Source organism: Homo sapiens, chromosome X, assembly GCF_000001405.40.
Source record: "Homo sapiens chromosome X, GRCh38.p14 Primary Assembly".
NCBI classification, from domain to species: domain Eukaryota; kingdom Metazoa; phylum Chordata; class Mammalia; order Primates; family Hominidae; genus Homo; species Homo sapiens.
The window spans coordinates 115,354,987-115,373,658 of NC_000023.11; the positions used below are offsets into that span (position 1 = coordinate 115,354,987).

The window sequence follows — 18,672 nt, forward strand, 5'->3', positions numbered from 1 at the left end:
AAAATCATTGACTTAACAATCAGAATAACGGGGTTCTAGACTTGGTTTTACCAGGAATTAGCAGTACGATCTTAGAGTCATGTAAATACTTGTTGTCAATCTATTTCCACATCTGTTGAACATAGGACAATGGTGGTGGATTTGATTCATTCATTTCACAAATCTTCAGTGGTTGCTGAATACATGATAGGCATGGTGCAGGACACTTTATGGAATAGAAAGGTGGCTTGAGTAGAACCCAGGCATGAGCTTCTGTCCTTGAGGAGCTTATAAGTCTAGAAGGTAGACAATACATACCCAAAGGACTGAAATACAAAGCAGACAGACATGAGAACCATGAAAGAGGTCCAGAAAAAGTATGTAATGATCTCTCCGATTCCTTCAGCTTAAATATTCTATGGTTTGTCATTAATTTTTCATGAAAAAACTCTTTCCTTCCCAAAATAGAAGTGCTGTAATAATTTATTAAAGTGCTTTCTTTACTAGCATCACTTCCCGCATCAATGAGAAAGTTAGGGAGATCAAATTGAATGATTTCGACCATAATCACAAGGAGATGGAAAAAAGGGCATTTTGCAGAAAGATGTAATACCCATTAACAAGTCAGCAAAAGACAACAACAGGAACTTTTTAAATTACTTTTTTTAAAAGTACCTGTTTTGTAAAAGAATTTTGAAGACAAAAACCAATCACACGTTACTGAATCTCTATACTTCTAGCCCTCTTCAAGAGACTGCAGGAGTTGGAAACAAAGCTTAACATATGGTGCCTCTCCTCTTTCTGATTAGCATGTAGGTAGGAAGATCAGACTAAATATAGAGAGGATGATTTTAAACCAGTTTGGTATAAAATTGCATAGTGCAAATTATGGTATCATAAGAGATAAGAGAAGAGAAACATTGCAATGGAGGAACGATGTCTTTAGAATCAGTCAGATCTGGATTTAAAACTTTCTCTGCCACTTCTTGGCTATGTGACCTTGGGTTTATTGCATAAATTCACTGTAATTCAATTTTCTCAACTGTAAAATGAGGATAACTGTGTAACTTGCTATGCAGGATTGTTATGAAGATTAAATGGGCAAGTGCATGTAAAGTGACAAGCATTGCCTGGCCCATAGAGGTGTTTAATGGTCATTTGTTGATTTTGATAATTAGAGTGAGTTGGAAAACCCAAGGAAGAAGTTCAGACCCAAGGTGGGCATTTACAGATGGCAGAGAGGAGAGAGTAGAAAAATATATAAATGAAATCTACTTGTAAATTTGACTTGTAAGAAAAAAATTAAGAGAGGAATAAGCGTTATCTCATGCACTTCCACAATGTATCTGGCAATAAACTAATATTAGTAACCACCAGCTAATAGCTAGTGATAATTCACAATCTAGTACTCGTCTGGTTAGCATGTCTCTTCTCAACGTAGTCATTAAACTCATTCGTCAGGGAATCTGTAAATATCATAAAGCTATTAAAATTTGCTCCATGGATCTTAAGAGTAAAACACAAGCACAATTCATTATTTGCTAAACTCAATGAATTTGCTCTTGATCCTCTAGCAGCCCAGAATGAGTAAAAGGTTGAGAAATATTTACAAGTGGCATAATACCTCTTTCTTACGTCAACCTTTCTGAAGCTGTTGAAACTGGATAAAGTATTTAACCAGCCTTATACCTTTTTCTTTTTACATAGTTATTATGATGATGACTGGCAGACCAAAAATATTTTGGTGCTTTGGGGTGAAATGTACTAGACACAGAAGATACAAATCATCAAAAATAAAACTGGAAAGAAAGAAGCTTATCCACTGAATTCAGTTTTCAAGGAAGAAAACCAAACATCTTATTGAGACTAAGTTGTCTACTGTGTTGATGTGAACTATAGGCATGCTATTTTCTCTGAAGCGGGAGTAAACAACACTCTTGTGGTCTTTAACACACTAGAGTTGTTGTGGAAACATCACATCCCACTTTGATTCATGTACTCTGGGCTAGGAAAATGAATTTGGAAAAAACCAAAGCACTCTCTATTTAACTTTCCAATGAAACTACACTCTCTTTGTGTGTCCCCATTACTTGACTTTGAATGGAGGTAACCAAACTCTCTTCCTAAGGCTCCACAGGATTAGAAAAACTCACAGCTTCCAGGTTGTCTTAGCTTGACCCAGGCAATCACCCCTGGGATCTCAGTAAGGCATATTTCCAGAGCTTAGAAGAAAGCTTTTTTTTTTTCCTTGAGGAATTGATGGCATTTTGTAAAGGAGGAAACGAAAACTCATAAAGCATTTGCAAAGACTGAACACTTTAGAACTGAGTTCTTCTCAGAGTTCATCTTTCTGTACATAGCCAGTGCTTCTAAGAAGTGAATCTCACCTCACCACCCCTCCAACCCTGAAACTGAAAGACCTCTCTATTAGTAGTAGGGATTAGCCTCAGAGGGGTGTGTTTGTTATTAGAAGATGAAGTATAAGTCTAGCTATTTAAATCCATTATTTAAAACCTTCACAGTTGATCAGGAGTCATGCAGCAATTTTAGGGTTTAGTAATGCAAGCATCCTTAAATAGACTTGAAGCCTGAGCCATAGCCAAGAGGTATGTCATGATCCTGTGGAAGACAAATCCATTATTTCCTCCAAAAGACTTTTAAGGAAACTAAAAATAGTCAAATACATCTTACGATAAAAATAATAAGACACATTTTGAATCAACAGGTAATAAGATACAGGCACGCAAAAGATGTAATAAAATTGTTATGTCCTTCTGGTTTCTAATGTTAATAGAGGTTTTTCACAATTAAAGATACTAAGATTTTGTCTTTCTATCTGGAGATGGTTTTAACATGAAAATATGGTATATGAAATGGATAATTCATGTTGCAAGCCTGTGAATTTTATATTCCTTTCCAACTGCATGTTGTTTCTCTCCCAAGATACTGTCTCAGAGGTTTGCCAATTACAACAGTGACTCTTTTGAAAGAATGTTCATTTGAGTTCCCAGCAAAAATAATTTCAAGGAGACGTTGCCATTCAAAACATTCACAAATGAACTCCATACTTCATTACCTCAATTGCAGACAAAAATATAAAAATAATCTGACCTTTTCATTCAAAATATGTTTTTGACTGAAACAAACAAAAAATCATATTCTTCCTTAGAAAAAAGTGTCCAAGGAGGGGTAAAGGTAGACTACCTCGACTGCTAATGTGAACTTGATAGTCCTGTTTGGTTACTGACAATGACATAATACATTTTGTTCTCCATGGAACCCATTTTACTACCTCTGACCATTTGACGGTTGCTTAGGTTTGGAAGCTGTCTAATATCTGTGCCCAGGGCAAACCACTGGAGTTAAAATGTACAGAGGAAAGAGAATGTGGTTTATTGAATGCTAAACTAAAGTGAAAGTCAGCAGGCCTCAGTTCTATTTCTGGCTTCTCTTTGGACAAACCGTACCTTCCTTGACCTTGAGCAAGTCATTTACTATCACTGTATCCCAGATGGTACAATAAGACCTCATTATAAGAAAACACCAATACCACATTTTTCCATAGCGTAATTTATAAGGTAAGGAATAAATGTGAAATGGATTAATTGAAGAATTGCTTATTGGAAATGTCTCAAGCCCCACTGTCTAATGGTACTATCAAAAGTACAGCTAAAAACAAACTTCAGAACAGCAGTGGGATACATGGCTCTTTATGTCCTCAGGTGAGATCTGAGGTACAGTTATGGGGGGAAAAGAAAAGAAAGACCCAGGACAAAGATTTAGTTACTCTCCCCACTTCCCTTCCTTTTTCCTATTTCTTCCTTTCCTGATTTTATGAGAACTGCTGAATGTCTTTTGCACTGCAGACACTCATGGTAATAACACTATTGACCAGAGGAAAGTTCTACCTGAACAAAGCAAGAGAACAATAATTGAGGGTTTTATAGGTAAGAGGAAAGAAAATGGTTCATTGTCTGTACCCTTGAGTGTTATCAAAGCTTCAGAAATGGAAAATGGTATGATCTTCAGAATGTCTGTGATTTCCAAGTCTGGAATGTAACTCTTAAAAAACGTCATGTCTCAGAAATACCTCTTTAGTTATAGGATGTAAGGGAGTTGTAACGCAGAATTCCTTTTATTCAAGGATGCTCTAATAAAGAAACAAACAAAAAATCTAGGGATGCAGTTATTTTATATATTGAAGGATAGTTAGGCCAGGCGATTATTATTTCTATTCCATTTTATGGTCTTTAGTGAATTTAGTATAATAATAAAATAGAATCAGAGAATTATAGAGCTGGAAGGAGCATTAGAAATAACAGAGTCATTTTGCAGGCAAATCAGCTGAGGCACAGATATGAGTTGCCCAAGATCAACACTGGTAAATATGAAGGCTAGAAATTGAATCTTCTGAATCTTATTATAATAATAAATATTCCATTACTTAAATTTGACATCATATGACCTGACAAGTTCCTATAAATAGTAACACTTGAATTTTCCTTCTTTCTATAAGATGTCCAACTATTAAATATGAAACCAGTTACTGAGACCATAATTGACTTTAGTTGCATATTCCTTCATTTTTATTTTGGCTTTCGTTTCTCCACCAGTTATATGGTTTGGCTGTGTCCCAACCCAAATCTCATCTTGAATTGTAGTTCCCATAATCCCCACGTCGTGGGAGGGACCTGGTGGGAGGTAATTGAATCATGGGGGTGGTTACCCCCATGCTGCTATTCTTGTGATAGTGAGTGCGTTCTCACGAGATCTCATGATTTTATAAGGGGCTTTTTCACCTTCTGCTTGGCACTTCTCCTTGCTGCCGCTGTGTAAGAAGGATGTATTTGCTTCCCCTTCCACCGTAATTGTAAGTTTCCTGAGGCCTCCCCAGCCATGCTGAACTGTGAGTCAATTAAACCTCTTTCCTTTATTAATTACCCCGTCTTGGATATGTCTTTATTAGCAGCATGAGAATAGACTAATACAACCAGTAAGACATACGTTTAGTTATTATTGTTTTCATTATTATCCCCAACAGAATGAAAAGAGGAGAAAAATAAGAAGCTAAAATGTATTGTCCAACAAAGCCACATGATCGTCTACAAAAAAGTTTTAATAGGGAAGAAAATTGCTGATGATTTTTCCGCCTAAAGATAGCAGGCAAGATGAATCTCTTCCAAAGCCATATTCTACAAGAATATATCAGTGCCAGGGCCACTACTGGCACATACAGTGCCTTCTGGCAAATTATAAAATGGCATTTCCTGCAGGCAGATGAATTGGGGGGAAAAAAAGGTCCCCTGTAATCGGATCAATTACAGAGAGACACAGCTTCTGGAAATGCCTGTGCCAGTAGTATTTCCCCACCTCTACCCATGCACTCAGAGCCTCTGTGCAGGATGCAGCCTGCATAACCTTAAGCTGAGACCCTGAGCATTATTCTCTTTATCACAAATGCTGTCACTTCTGTCTGCATAGACTTCATTAGTAATAAGTTAAAATTCGGCTGTGGAAAACACATGTCTTCAGTTTCTTTGGCTTGCCTTCAATACCAACAAAGATAGGAGTCCCAAGTCTCTAGTATCCTAGCAATAAGTATGGATTTTGACATTACCAAACACATTGACCCATTCTTGTAGATCTGCAGACTGCCCTGCCCAACTTCTCTGTCCAGCCAAATCCTATTGACACTTTAAAACCTCATCTTCTCTTCCAAGCAGCCTTTGCTGACTCATTCCAATCCTCACTGATATTTCTTCCCTACATCCCTTAAGATTCATTATCTGTTGAGGATTTGGCATTTATTAATATGGCATTGAATGATATTTCACCAGAGGACCCAGTAATGCTTAAATCACCAGACTGCCCTGGAGATGACATGGCATTCCTGCCAGAGTGGTTTCAGGGCAAGGGGGAAGACAACCTGAAGACTCTAGCAGCTCTATATTGTGAACTAAGATAGACCAACAAGTAATAAAACAAGTGCTCGGCTGCCCAATGCACCTCGTACTGGCATGTGCTGCCCAGACATCCCACTTTCTTGGTGTATAGATAGCCACCCAGCCAGTGTTTCCAAAAACAGTGGATTGATCCTTCCAACTGGCTATTGTGAATGGTGATTGAAAGTATCTGCCTCTTAAGTAATGGAGGCAGCGCTTTATTTTTTTATATATATCAACTACATTACTTTCGACATGAGAAACTTCTGCAGCCTGTTTAAAAATGTGAGAAAACGCTGGGTGCAGTGGCTCACGCCTGTAATCCCAGCACTTTGGGAGGCTGAGGCTGGCAGATCACAAGGTCAGGAGTTCGAGACAAGCCTAGCCAACATGGTGAAACCCCATCTCTACTAAAAATACAAAAAATTAGCCGGGCTTGGTGGCGGGCACCTGTAATCCCAGCTACTCAGGAGGCTGAGGCAGGACAATCGTTTGAACCTTGGAGGCAGAGGTTGCAGTGAGTGGAGACCGTGCCACTGCACTCCAGCCTGGGTGACAGAGTGAGACTCTCTCTCAAAAACAAAAAAATAAAAAATAAAAATAATAAAAATGTGAGAAAAAAAATCAGGAAAGCTACAAAATTAACTGTCTTACTAATGAAGACATTTAATAATTTAGCCGATCCCCTAAAATAATTGCCACCAGATGCCCCCTTTCCTGAAATTGGTGCATGTTTGAGTAAAAAGCATAAGCATCTTCAAGTCTATCTTTTCAGCTTCAAACAGGAAAGGATGTTGAGCAAGGAGTGGCAGGAATAACAGGAATTGATGTGACTTCCTCTGATATATTATCAAATATGTATGTAGAAGTGTTTATTATTTTCTACCAGTTTGTAGATATGGTGCTAATGACTGCTCCGTTTTGAGATTGCTGTGACATAAAGCTTACCTTTTCCTGAAAAAAAAAAAAAAAAAGGCAACGATACAATAAAAAGGAGGGCAAAAGGCCATCTTACTTCTCTTTCTATCCCAAAACCCAATCCCAAATCTTAACACTCCAATCGAGAATCGGCCAAACAAGTCAAGAAATAATAGAAGAAAAATGCACACTCATAAGCTCCAATGCCCATATAGGTGTGTGTATGTGTGTGTTTGTATGTGGGGTTGAGAGGTGAAGCCAGCTGGACTTTCTGAGTCGGGTGGGAGAACTTGGAGAACTTTTCTGTCTAGCTAAATGATTGTAAACGCACCAATCAGCACTCTGTAAAAACGCAGCAATCAGCACTCTGTGTCTAGCTAAAGGTTTGTAAATGCACCAATCAGCACTCTGTAAAAACGGACCAATCAGCACTCTGTAAAATGGGCCAATCAGCAGGATGTGGGCGGGGCCAAATAAGGGAATAAAAGCTGGCAACCCGAGCCAGCAGCTGGCAACCCTCTTGGGTCGCCTTCCACGCTGTGGAAGCTTCGTTCTTTCTCTCTTCACAGTAAATCTTGCTGCTGCTCACTGTTTGGGTCTGCACTACCTTTAGGAGCTGTAACACTCACTGTGAAGGTCTGTGGCTTCACCCCTGAAGTCAGCGAGACCACGAACCCACTGGGAGGAATGAACAACTCCGGACGTGTCACCTTTAAGAGCTGTAACACTCACTGCGAAGGTCTGCGGCTTCACTCCTGAAGTCCAGCGAGACCACGAACCCACTGGAAGGAAGAAACTGTGGACACATCTGAAGGAACAAACTCCGGACACACTATCTTTAAGAACTGTAACACTCACCACGAGGGTCCGCGGCTTCATTCTTGAAGTCAGCGAGACCAAGAACCCACCCAAAGGAACCAATTCCGGACACAGGGTGGAGGAGGGGGTGAAGGTTAATGTGCAATTTCTAGATGAGAATGCCTGTGGCTTCTCTTAACCACATAAATGAACAAGCACTGGCAGAGAGACAGATGGCTTAGCTGGCCCAGAGCAGCCCCAGTGCTCTTAGGGAAGGAAAAGAGCCCCCTTCACTTCACTTCAGTTCCTCCTTTCCCCAGCAGGGTGAGCAACCCCTAAAGACCATCGTTATTTTGAGGGCTTTTGTTTAAGTATAGCACATATATTAGAATGTACTATGGTGATGGCCTATGGTGCTCTTGAATTGTTTCATAAATATTTATCCTGAATCCCCAGAAAGATTAGAAACTCATTGAGAGCCAGATCCAGTATCCATGCTGCTTCTATGTCTCAAAAGGCTTAACTGAGGCACAGAGTAAATGGTCAGTCATTATGGGTATGATTGAATGAAAAAATAAATCCTTAATTTTGAAACTCAATACAACCTGGTTTTACAGATGTGAGGATAATGATATGGCATATTCAAAGGACGTAGAAAGGAGTTAGGAACTGGCAAAAGAGTTTAAACCATCAAGAGTAGCTCCGTTGTATGAAAAAAGCATACCCCCCTCAAACCTTCTAATCATAGACTAGGCTCTGTGAGTTAATGACATTTCTTTATAAGACATGCAATGTTTTTTTTTTTTTCTGTCTGGAAGCAATACACATTCAGAAATTGAAGCAAACATCAATAGAACAAAAGCTGCTGTAGCTCAGCTGTTTGGAGAAAATCAATTCAAACAACTCATAATTTGCTGGGTGACACATCATGAAACATTAAGCTAAGTGGCGGCACCTGGCTTCAGAAGCATAATCTCTAGGACAGCTACTAATTTATTCGTGCTGAAAAGGAAAGTCTCCCCTCCCCACTCCTTTCATGTAAAGCTTATAAACCAAAATGAGAATGATATCAAAGGGCTCTAAAAAAAAGAGCTTCCCAATAGACAGTTATCTCTTTGTCAGGTTATTTCATGCAACTTCCTCAAACAAAGCAAAAGATGAGCTGTACTAAGGAAATGTTTTGAGATCTATAAGCTGTGAACAGAACTTATGAGGTTCAATATGAAAGGAAGGTATGCAGTATGGCAGGATATTAGTATAATGGAAGTCTGGTTCACAGTTTGGGAAGGTTGTCGGCAAAGGTATTTTCATTTGTTTAGTAACTGGGGTTAGTGATTAGAAAATACAAGGACTCTGAACCTTAAAAATCATCATGATCGGCTACTTACTGATGAAATGGTAAGTGGAGTTCATGCACACACACAAAGCAGGCAGGGAGGGCCTGACCTTGGGTTGACTGAGAAAGAAGGTCAATGGGAATACATCATTGGTGGTGAAACAAGGCATTAAGTCTCATGGAGAAGCTTTGGGGAGTATTCACTACCATCATTGATCATAAGTACATATTGAAGGAAGATTTACTGCATGGCCAGTTTGAGCCAGCTGAGATGAGGAAAATAGAAGAAATGGAGCCACTTTCCCCAAGTAACATATAATCTAATGAAGACAAGATTAATAATGATCATTGAATATTTACTGTGAGCCAAGTAGTGCTTTACGTAGGTTATCTTACAACATAATCCTCACAACATGCCAGTGAAGCAAGTACTGTTATTCCCTCTATTGTAAATACGAGGAGACTAAGGTCAAATAGGTTATGAATCTTGTTTAAATTCATTCATCCAGTAAGTGGCAGAGCTAACTTGAACTGTGGTCTTACTCCAGAGTCTATGCACTTAATCACTATAGTAGACCCAACTGTAAAGTGGGGATAAAAAGGGTGTCTACTACAGAGTTGATATGAGAATAAATGAGGTAACACTAACAACAGCAAGGAGAGTGCCTGGCATGGAGCCAATGTTCAAAAATGGTTGGCTATCATCATCTTTAATGTCATCAGTGTTTTCCTACCTCCTAAAAATATGAATCCTTTTTACAACAATCTTGACAGGTAGTTCCCAGCTCCTGATAATATATCTCCCCAAGGGCAGGAAGCTCAGTATTTGAGCAGGCTGCTTCCTTGTGCAACAGCTCTTGTTGTTCAGAGGAATTTTCTTTGATCAGCTGAAGTAAACTTCAGCTCTTCTGTAACTTTTGCCTATTGGCTTTAGTTCTGCCATTGAGAATAACACAGAGTAAGCTGATACCCTCTTCCACTTGACTTGACAGATTAAATATGGCAAGAACTAGAGAATCATTTACATTTTTTTAGCTGGAGAACAACAACAAAGAAAAGGGAGGCTAATGAAGCTGTGTCTGATGAGAATAAGCAGAGCTGGATTTGAGAGCAGTGAGAATGGAGACAGGGAAGCCAGTGAGAAGGATGTGGCAGTAATCCAGGTCATATGGACCAGGATGAGAGCAATGGCAACGAGGATGAAGAAGAAGTGCAGATAACAGAAACTTTTCATGTGGGAAAATGGACAGAACTTGGGGTCTGGCCAGATACTGGGGGGGGGTAAATTTTAAAAATCTCATTTATGGTCCAGAGTTTTCAAACATAGCTATTAAGAGAATTCAATTTTTTTTTTGTGGTGGGGGTGCATTTGGAGGGTGGTAAGATGATGATTTTGGATTTGAGTTGACAACCAAAAAAAAAAAAAAAAAATCCGGTAACTAGAGACAGGTGACTGGCAAGAGTTATCTGGGATAAGAGATACACATTTAAAGTCATCAGCCAGAAGGGTTGAATAGGTTAGACAAACTGTTGATGCAGGGCTTCAGATGTTAAGGTGAGAATCTGAACGTGGTCCAGAGGGTGAGGCTGGCCCCATGTGGAACTCTGAAGGAGCTAGTATTAGAAGCCTCTGGCTGCCCTCCCACTCTGTCTTTTTTTGGTGGTGTCTTTCCCTTCCATTTAGGTCTTAAATACCCTTATCTCCCTCTACTTGCCCTCTCTCTTAGTCCGTTTACACTGCTAAAATAAAATACCACAGACTGGATAATTTATAAAGAACAGAAATTTATTTCTCACAGTACTGGAGGCTGGGAGTCTAAGATCAAGGCACTGACAGGTTCCATGTCTGGTGAGGGCCTTATCTTCACTTCCAAGAGGTTGCCTTGTTGCTGCATCCTCCAGCGGGGAGCAACGCTGTGTCTTCACATGGTGGAAAAAACAGAAGAGCCAAAAAGGGGACCAAACTCCCTCTGTCGAGTCATTTTATAATGTTTTATAATCCATTCGTGAGGGCAGAGCCCTCAAGACATAAACAGCTCCCAAAAGGCCCCACCCAATTAGCAATACTGTTGCATTGAGGGTGAAGTCTTGAACACATGAATTTTCAGGGACACATTCAGATTATAGAAAGCTCCTCTTAATATTGTGATGAAGACAAAACTAATTTAAGTGGGTCAAGGTGGTTACATGGCAACAACATAAACTGGGATTCAAGAAACCTGGATTCTAAGCCGGTCATGGTGGCTCACGCCTGTAATCTGAGCACTTTGGGAGGCTGAGGCGGGAGGATTGCTTGAGGCCAGGAGTTTGAGACCAGCCTGGGCAACATGGTGAGACCCGGTCTCTAGAAAAAATACAAAAATTAGCCGGCCGTGCTGGTGCACATCTGTAGTCCCAGCTACTTGGGAGGCTGAGGTGGGAGGATCGCTTAAGCCCAGGAGGTCAAGGCTTCAGTGAGCCATGACTGCACCACTGCACTCCAGCCTGGGAAACAGAGCAAGCCTCTCTCTCAGAAAAAGAAACCTGGATTCTAGACTCAACTCTACCACTCCTCCTTTTGAATCTCAGAAGGGCCCAAATGGCCCTTACAACTAAAAATAAATCAATGTGTGTCCAACCTGCCTGTACTGAACACTGCCCCAGTTAATTGGCTCAGTGCTGCAAACCTATTTCCAGATTCTCCATTCGTTCTTAAGTGCAAAAGACACAGAAGAGCTTAGCATATACTGTTGGAAAGAAAGAAGCAGATAATATGTTTAATGGATAATCCAGAAACAATAGTCTTTGGTCTTGGACTGTAGCCTGACATAGATATCCAGACACATGCCTACTAGTACAACCATTCATTCACCTTCTCCTGAACTCAGCTGTATGGCTTACTGCTGGAGCTGGGTGAGATAAAGTGGTAGAGGAAAGCAGTTACATCAAGTAGACTTCTAATGAGGATTCCAAGAGTTATGTATTTGTTGCATACAGTTTATGTGCAAATATGTATATAACTAAGAATAAAAAGATCTGAAAGGTTATATATGGAAGAGTTGACAGCAGTTCCTTCTGGGAAAGAGACTTAGATCGGGATGCAGGGGTGAGAATGAAAGGAGACTCCCATTAACTCTAGACAGTTTGGCATGTTAATTTTCACGATGAGAATGTATTCCTATGTTACACAAGTAATATATGAAACAATGAAAATGCTTTTCATTTTTAAAAAGAGACAACTGTTTATTAAGTCTGAGAAGCTGAAAAGTTTAGAGTAGCATTTCTGGTATCACAATGATAATGACTTCATGTCTTAGGGTGCTTGGTGGACAGCACCCTCTTCTCCCTTCCATAGATCACCAGCCTTTCTAGCCTCATAGCCACCTGAGAAGCAGAATCAAGGAAAGGGGTGTTTGAAAAGAATGCAGAGAAGAAATGGAGTGTATCAAATGACATCAGGAAGGCTGGCTGGTGGACTATAGGCTCCAAAGGTTAGCCAAGCAGTGTGTCAGGCAGTAAACCAGAGGGTCCGCTTTGACCTCCTACCACCATTTGACGAGAAAACAAGAGAAAATGTGGCTGGTGTGGGTCCACTGCAGAGGTGGGGAGTTCTTTCGTGCAGTAGTGACAATGCCCTGCTTCCCCAGATCTGGCACATTTCAGAAGTTGCTGACGTGTTGATGCCTGCTAAAACACAACGTGGGAAGAAGAATGAATGTGGGCAAGCTCGGCTAGCCACTCAGAGGGAAATGATCTCATTTCTCCTGCTGGGCAACCCCCAGTTGCTGGTAAGTGGAAAAAGACAGGGTAGAATTTAAATTCCACCATTATGTTTTTTTTCTCAAAAGCCACAAGTTTACAGATGATGGCTTATATTGTCTCATGAGCTGTTTATCATAGCTATTTCCAGAAAAGGAGAAGGATTCAGAAATACTGTCTTGGCCAGAATTTCATTCCCTTGCTTCTCTTTGGGGATATTTCCATTATTTTTTTTAATATACAGGAGTGGCCTTTGGCACTTGTTATGGTCTTATGTGCTGACTGGTTGGAAGTCATGAATATTGGAGACTTTAATCCATAATCTGTCTCCCAGTGCAATTTGTCTATGAGATTCCTTTCCTGTCCTGCCAGAGGGTAGTAGAGTTATAATTCATTATCCTGTGATCTTCAACATGGCTTCTGGCACAGTGAGTAAGTTCTTTGTTCTTTTAGGACAGAACTGTCACTCATCACTAAACAGCCCTTCATTTTTTTCCCCAAACACTGACTCATAGAATCATAGATTCTCAGGGATGGAAGGAAGCCGAGAGGTCGTCTAATCCAACCCTTTACTAGTTGACTCCAGGCAGTGCCTAGACATGGTAAATTACTTCATGCCCCAAATAAGTAAAATTTAGTGAAATAAGAAGGGCGATTTGTGAGAGTCAGAGATGGAACACCTCCAAAGGGTCTCTAAAGGGATGTGTGTGCTCAAAGGTGCGATGAAGGAAAAAGGCATACTTAATAACATCTCTGTTTCTGTGAGAATGAATTAGGTGCAAATCCAAATTTGAAGCTGAGAACCTCCTAATTCTATAATAATAGTGATAATAATCATAGTAATAATAAGTCAGAACAGTTAAAATAAGTTAAGATTTTCTGAACACTCGCTATGTGTCTGACATGAATCTAATTTATTCATGTGAATTATATAATCATCAAGTCACCACTTTGGGGCTGGTATCTTCCATATTACAGATGAGGAAACTGGGGAGTTTTGGAGTGTTTTGCCCAAGGTCATATACCTAGTAAGTGTCAGAACTAATATTGGAATCCAGGAATGTCTAAGTCTTTACCACCAGGCTATATTACCCTATTATCCTCAAATAAAGACAGTTGCTATAGAAAATAGTTGCCTCCTGGATTTATCACCAGCTGCCAGGCTAGTGAGGAGGATATGTTTTATAATCTTTTCCTAGATCCCTTGAGATCTTCTCAATATAAGTCCTCATTTAAACTGAAGCAGAAACATTTCTTGCTTCTGTCCCTTCACACAAAGGATGTTTTGGTTTCAGACAAAAGCAAGAGAAATAGTTCCCCAGCTTTGAAATGTTTTAGTCATCCCGCTGGTGCATTGGAGCAGGTGATACATTTAAAGTGAAAATAATAGCCTATAGTCCTGGACAGCTGGTTTGAGAGAAATTAAAGCCCTACTCTGATCCAAAGAATAAGAACCTTTCACACAAGCTCTCTGCCCAGCTAGTCAAAATCCATAAATCTGTCAAATAGAGTGAAGTTTTTTTGTCTTAAAATGTCTCAAAGATAAGCTTTCCTATTAAGTGTGTCGTTCTTTGAATACTGCATTTTAAAAAGCTGGGTTGCTATGCTGTGGCTAAATATTTTAAAAGTGTAAGAATATCACAAAAATAAATAACTAGAATCACTTGTAAGCACTTGTAATTTAACGAAGGAGCCATGCTTTTTTTTCATATTCATACTTTACCAAATGCCTTCCCATACTTTACTTGATTTGATCGTCACAACAACCCTTTGAGATAGGCAAAACATATTTTATTTTCCCAATTCAGTGAGAAAGAAAACTGAGACACAGAGTTTAAAAGAATCACTCAAAGTTTTGTGGGGAAATGATGAAAAAGGCAAGACTAGGACTTACAAATATTTTTATCTTGCTCTATCTACATTGGATAGTTCTAGACTGACAGATGGCATGTTTATCATTTTTAAACATTATAAAATATCTCTAATGATTTTATCATCCTTCTTTGGTCTTAAATGTCTTAGTGTTAACAATGTACTTGTTCTTTGATCTTCATGGGAAATTAATAGTATATGTCAAAGCATAAGTAGATTAAGTCTGTGCTGGAATTTCCTGAATATAATTTTTGAAAATGCAATATATGGTCATTGTCTTCATTAAATGATAACACAGCAATAATATTTAATGAACTTGGAAATGTGGTTGGTTGTATGTTTAGAAAGGTGAAAATATCACACTAAATAGGCACTACATGCTGGATACTTTATGTGTGTTATTTCATTTAATGTTCTTCAATATCAAAAAAGGAAGATACCACTATAGTATAGTGGCACTATAAATTGACTGATATTGGGGCTTTTATTTTTATTTTATTTTATTTTATTTTATTTTTAAGAAGGAGTTTCACTCTTGTCACCAAGACTGGAGTGCAATGGGTGACCTCGGCTCACTACAACCTCCGCCGCCTGGGTTTAAGCGATTCTCCTGCCTCAGCCTCCCGAGTAGGTGGGATTACAGGCACCCACCACCACGCCCGGCTAATTTTTTGTATTTTTAGTAGAGACAGGGTTTCGTCACTTTGGCCTGACTGGTCTCGAACTCCTGACCTCAGGTGATCTGCCCGCCTCGGCCTCCCAAAGCGCTGGAATTACAGGCGTGAGCCACTGTGCCCAGCCCAGGACTTTTTAAATGGACTCTTAGAGATGTTGATAAACATCTCTAAAATTGACTCTTAGAGAATTAAAAATTGATTCTTAGAGATGTTAAAAACTGACTGTTAGAGATATTAAACAATATGACCAAGGTCTCATCGATATTAAGTGGTAAAGCTAGGACTCAAACTAGTGTGGTCTGACTCTGAAGTCCAGGTTTTAAACAAACGTGCATACTGCTTTGTAGTAGCTGAAGCTAAATAAATACGAGTAGTAGCTCACCTTGGGGGTTTATTATCTACCAACCATTGTGCTTATTACTTTGCCTCCTTCATCCCATTAATGTCAAAACCTACCAAGTAAGTGTTAATATTATTTCCATTTTGTAGGTGAGGAAACCGAGACTGATAATGGTAAATAATTTAAGCCACACAGCTGGAAAAGAAAGGAACCAGAATAATTACTATGCATCTCTGTATTCTGTGTGCCATTTAGGCAGTACAGCCTATGAGTATAAAAAAAGGAGTAGAGAATCACTTTGCAGCAATATTTTGAGTTGGCACGCATATGCACATACTCACATATCAAAAACTCAAGGCCCATGAGAAACATTACCCTTTTGCTCTCGAGGTTACAGACTGCTTATGAGGGAATGAGGACATTTTGATATGCTAAGAAACTCTATTGAAGACAGAAGCCATTAAATAAATCAGTGTAAGGTTAAGAACAAAACTGTCAATTGGAGCACAGTTTAATTTGCTGCTATGATGACATCGGCCAGTTCATGAACTTGAACCCTGACAGGTATAATCTTTTACCTTGTATTTGTTTTGGAAATTTTACAGAAGAAAAAATTAAAATAATGATGTGATGAATTGCTATGTAATGACACATGAGCTATGCTGTCAAAACATTTAAAAGATAAAGTATATACATACAGACAGGTATCGGTTTGGATCCTAACTCTGCTGCTTCCCAGCTGTGTGATCCTAGTCAAGATAGTGACCTTTCTGAGACTTATTTACTAGGCAATTTTTTTAAAAAAAATGGAGTCTTACTCTACCGCCCAGGTTGGAATGCAGTGGCGTTATCTCGGCTCATTGCAGCCTCTGCCTCCCAGGTTCAAGCAATCCTCCCACCTCAGCCTCCCAAGTAGCTGGCCTGACTAATTTTTGTATTGTTAGTAGAGATGGGGTTTTGCCATGTTGGCCAGGCTGGTCTCAAACTCCTGGCCTCAAGTGATCTGCCCACTTCACCTCCCAAAGGGCTGGGATTATAGGCATGAGCCACCAGTCACCTCACAGGGTTGTGCTTAACCTCACAGGGTTGTGGTGGGCCTCTAATGAGTTTAAATATGCAAAGCAGCTAGTCATGCACTTAGCACACAGCAGTAACTCAATATATATCAGTGCCATTTGCCTTCCCTTGAAAATCCCTATTGAAAATTAATCTCCATACAGCAAGGATATTTTATGATCTATAACATAAATATTTTATATGTAATAATTGCAATTAGTAGTTTCATATTATTTCACCATATCTACTTTGTTACATAGTTGTGGTTACCCCAGATCTTGTGCTTCTTAATAGTATGTGCAGAAACTCACCCACACAAAATGGATTATTTTGTGGCTGATTTAATAAGATTTGCACAAAGTTACTGCTGCATTTTAATTTGTTTATTCTGTTTTTCTTTTCATGCTACCTGGCAGGATTGTCTTAATGGCACTTAGAAAACCATACTTACATGGGAAAGTAAGTTATCCAAGCAGACACCCAGAATTGCTTGGCATACTGTATAACAACTGGCAAATTAACCTTCACACACTCTGATAATACTGCAGAATTTAAGAAGCAACTGTATCTGCCTCCATGCAGCTGTCTAGTTTGCTAATGCATGTTCCTGAAATAAAAAAAAAAAAACACTGACACACATACTGTCTTTTTCCTTTCAACAATCCAGCTACTCAGTCCTTCTTGAAGTCCATTTTCGTAAACACTTTGCTGATCAAGAAGTGTCTGAAGATGGGAAGACGGAGAAAGCTTGTATTGTTTACTGAGTATCAGAGGACACTTCCTTCAAGTGACCTAAGGCATGTGTGAGTGCTATCCTACGAGCCACATTCTAAAGGAGTGAAGTCATCACGAACACTGCCTTAGAAGAGTGAGTTAGTGCCAAAGACTATCCTCAACAGCATTTACAGACTCACTTTTCTAAAAATCCAGAGATTTTTTTTAACATATAAATCAAGAATGAACAAGGCAAATGTTCAGCAATTCACTTCCATGCATTACTCCCCTTCTCCTTGGAACTCAATTTCTTAGCCAGGTTGCTTTTTGGGGCTAAAAGAAAGGAAAACAGAGATGGAGACAGACAGGGCCAAGAAGCCAATAAAGAGATGAGCTGCACAAAGCTATAATAATCAGTAAACCTAAGCAGGAAAAAGCTGAGAGGAAGGAAAGTTACTTAAAATCAGAGAATGCGGGGAGGGAGAAAAATTGCTTAAAATTAGTTTACAGAAAAAGAAAATTAATCTCCATTTTACTGTTGAATGACCTTTAGTCTGGAATTAGAATTCTATAAAGTCTAAACAAAGAGCCACATTTAATTCCCTGGGAAACTCCAATTTTAACTTGGCTTTAATAATAAAAATTTTTGTGTGCAAATTCCGAAAGCAGCACACACAAAGAAATTAAAGAATACAAAAACCTGTCCTAGGTAATCATGGAAATCTTACGTAAAGAGAAAATGAAAATCTTTTCATGCAATTGCACTTTACTCGAAAATTCTACTAATCCTGACCTTTCAGGTTTTGTGAAGTGCCAAATGCAAATTAAATGAAAATGAAATCACAATACATTGGATTTTAGAGAAAGGAAATGGCTAATCATGAATGCTTTTTTTTTTGGCAAGAACTGTTCAGGTGAATATTATGCTTAGTAATTGTTCAGGCAAGAAAGTGGGTAGAAATAAGCTTTCTCTCCTACCATGAGGCTGGATGCATGCTTTGTTCTCTGAGGGAAAGATCTCTACACATTGAATAAAGGCGAAGTACTTACACTGGACTTTAGCGAGAGTCTGACCCACAGAATTCCTTTCCTTTGTGGGAAATAGGGGCAATTCTCAGCATGGGAAGTACACACACACACACACACACACACACACACACATACACACACACACACACACACACACACACACAGACACATCGCGCCCACTCTTTCCTTGCCTGCGCCTTTTGTCTCCAAACCTAAGGGACCACACACCATCTCCATTTTATAGGCCCCTGTTTGACACTCTTAGGCATTTCA

General features: G+C 39.3%; 1 long non-coding RNA gene across 1 annotated transcript in view, besides 2 other annotated features; it reads left to right on the forward strand.

The window, feature by feature from the left end:
* The window catches only part of LOC107985681 (uncharacterized), a 29,905-nt gene extending 11,479 nt beyond the window's left edge, over positions 1 to 18,426 (forward strand). The window contains exons 2-3 of the long non-coding RNA XR_001755944.2: positions 12,600 to 12,740; positions 17,324 to 18,426. This is a non-coding gene — a long non-coding RNA (uncharacterized LOC107985681). The remainder of the gene's footprint in view (positions 1 to 12,599; positions 12,741 to 17,323) is intronic.
* Positions 16,944 to 17,801: an enhancer, noted in NCBI's record as "NANOG-H3K27ac hESC enhancer chrX:114606578-114607435 (GRCh37/hg19 assembly coordinates)". NCBI's record gives its function as "activates a minimal SCP1, AML or CMV promoter by ChIP-STARR-seq in primed H9 embryonic stem cells {active_cell/tissue: H9 hESC(primed)}" and the evidence as "EXISTENCE:reporter gene assay evidence [ECO:0000049][PMID:30033119]".
* Positions 17,941 to 18,443: an enhancer, noted in NCBI's record as "H3K27ac hESC enhancer chrX:114607575-114608077 (GRCh37/hg19 assembly coordinates)". NCBI's record gives its function as "activates a minimal SCP1, AML or CMV promoter by ChIP-STARR-seq in primed H9 embryonic stem cells {active_cell/tissue: H9 hESC(primed)}" and the evidence as "EXISTENCE:reporter gene assay evidence [ECO:0000049][PMID:30033119]".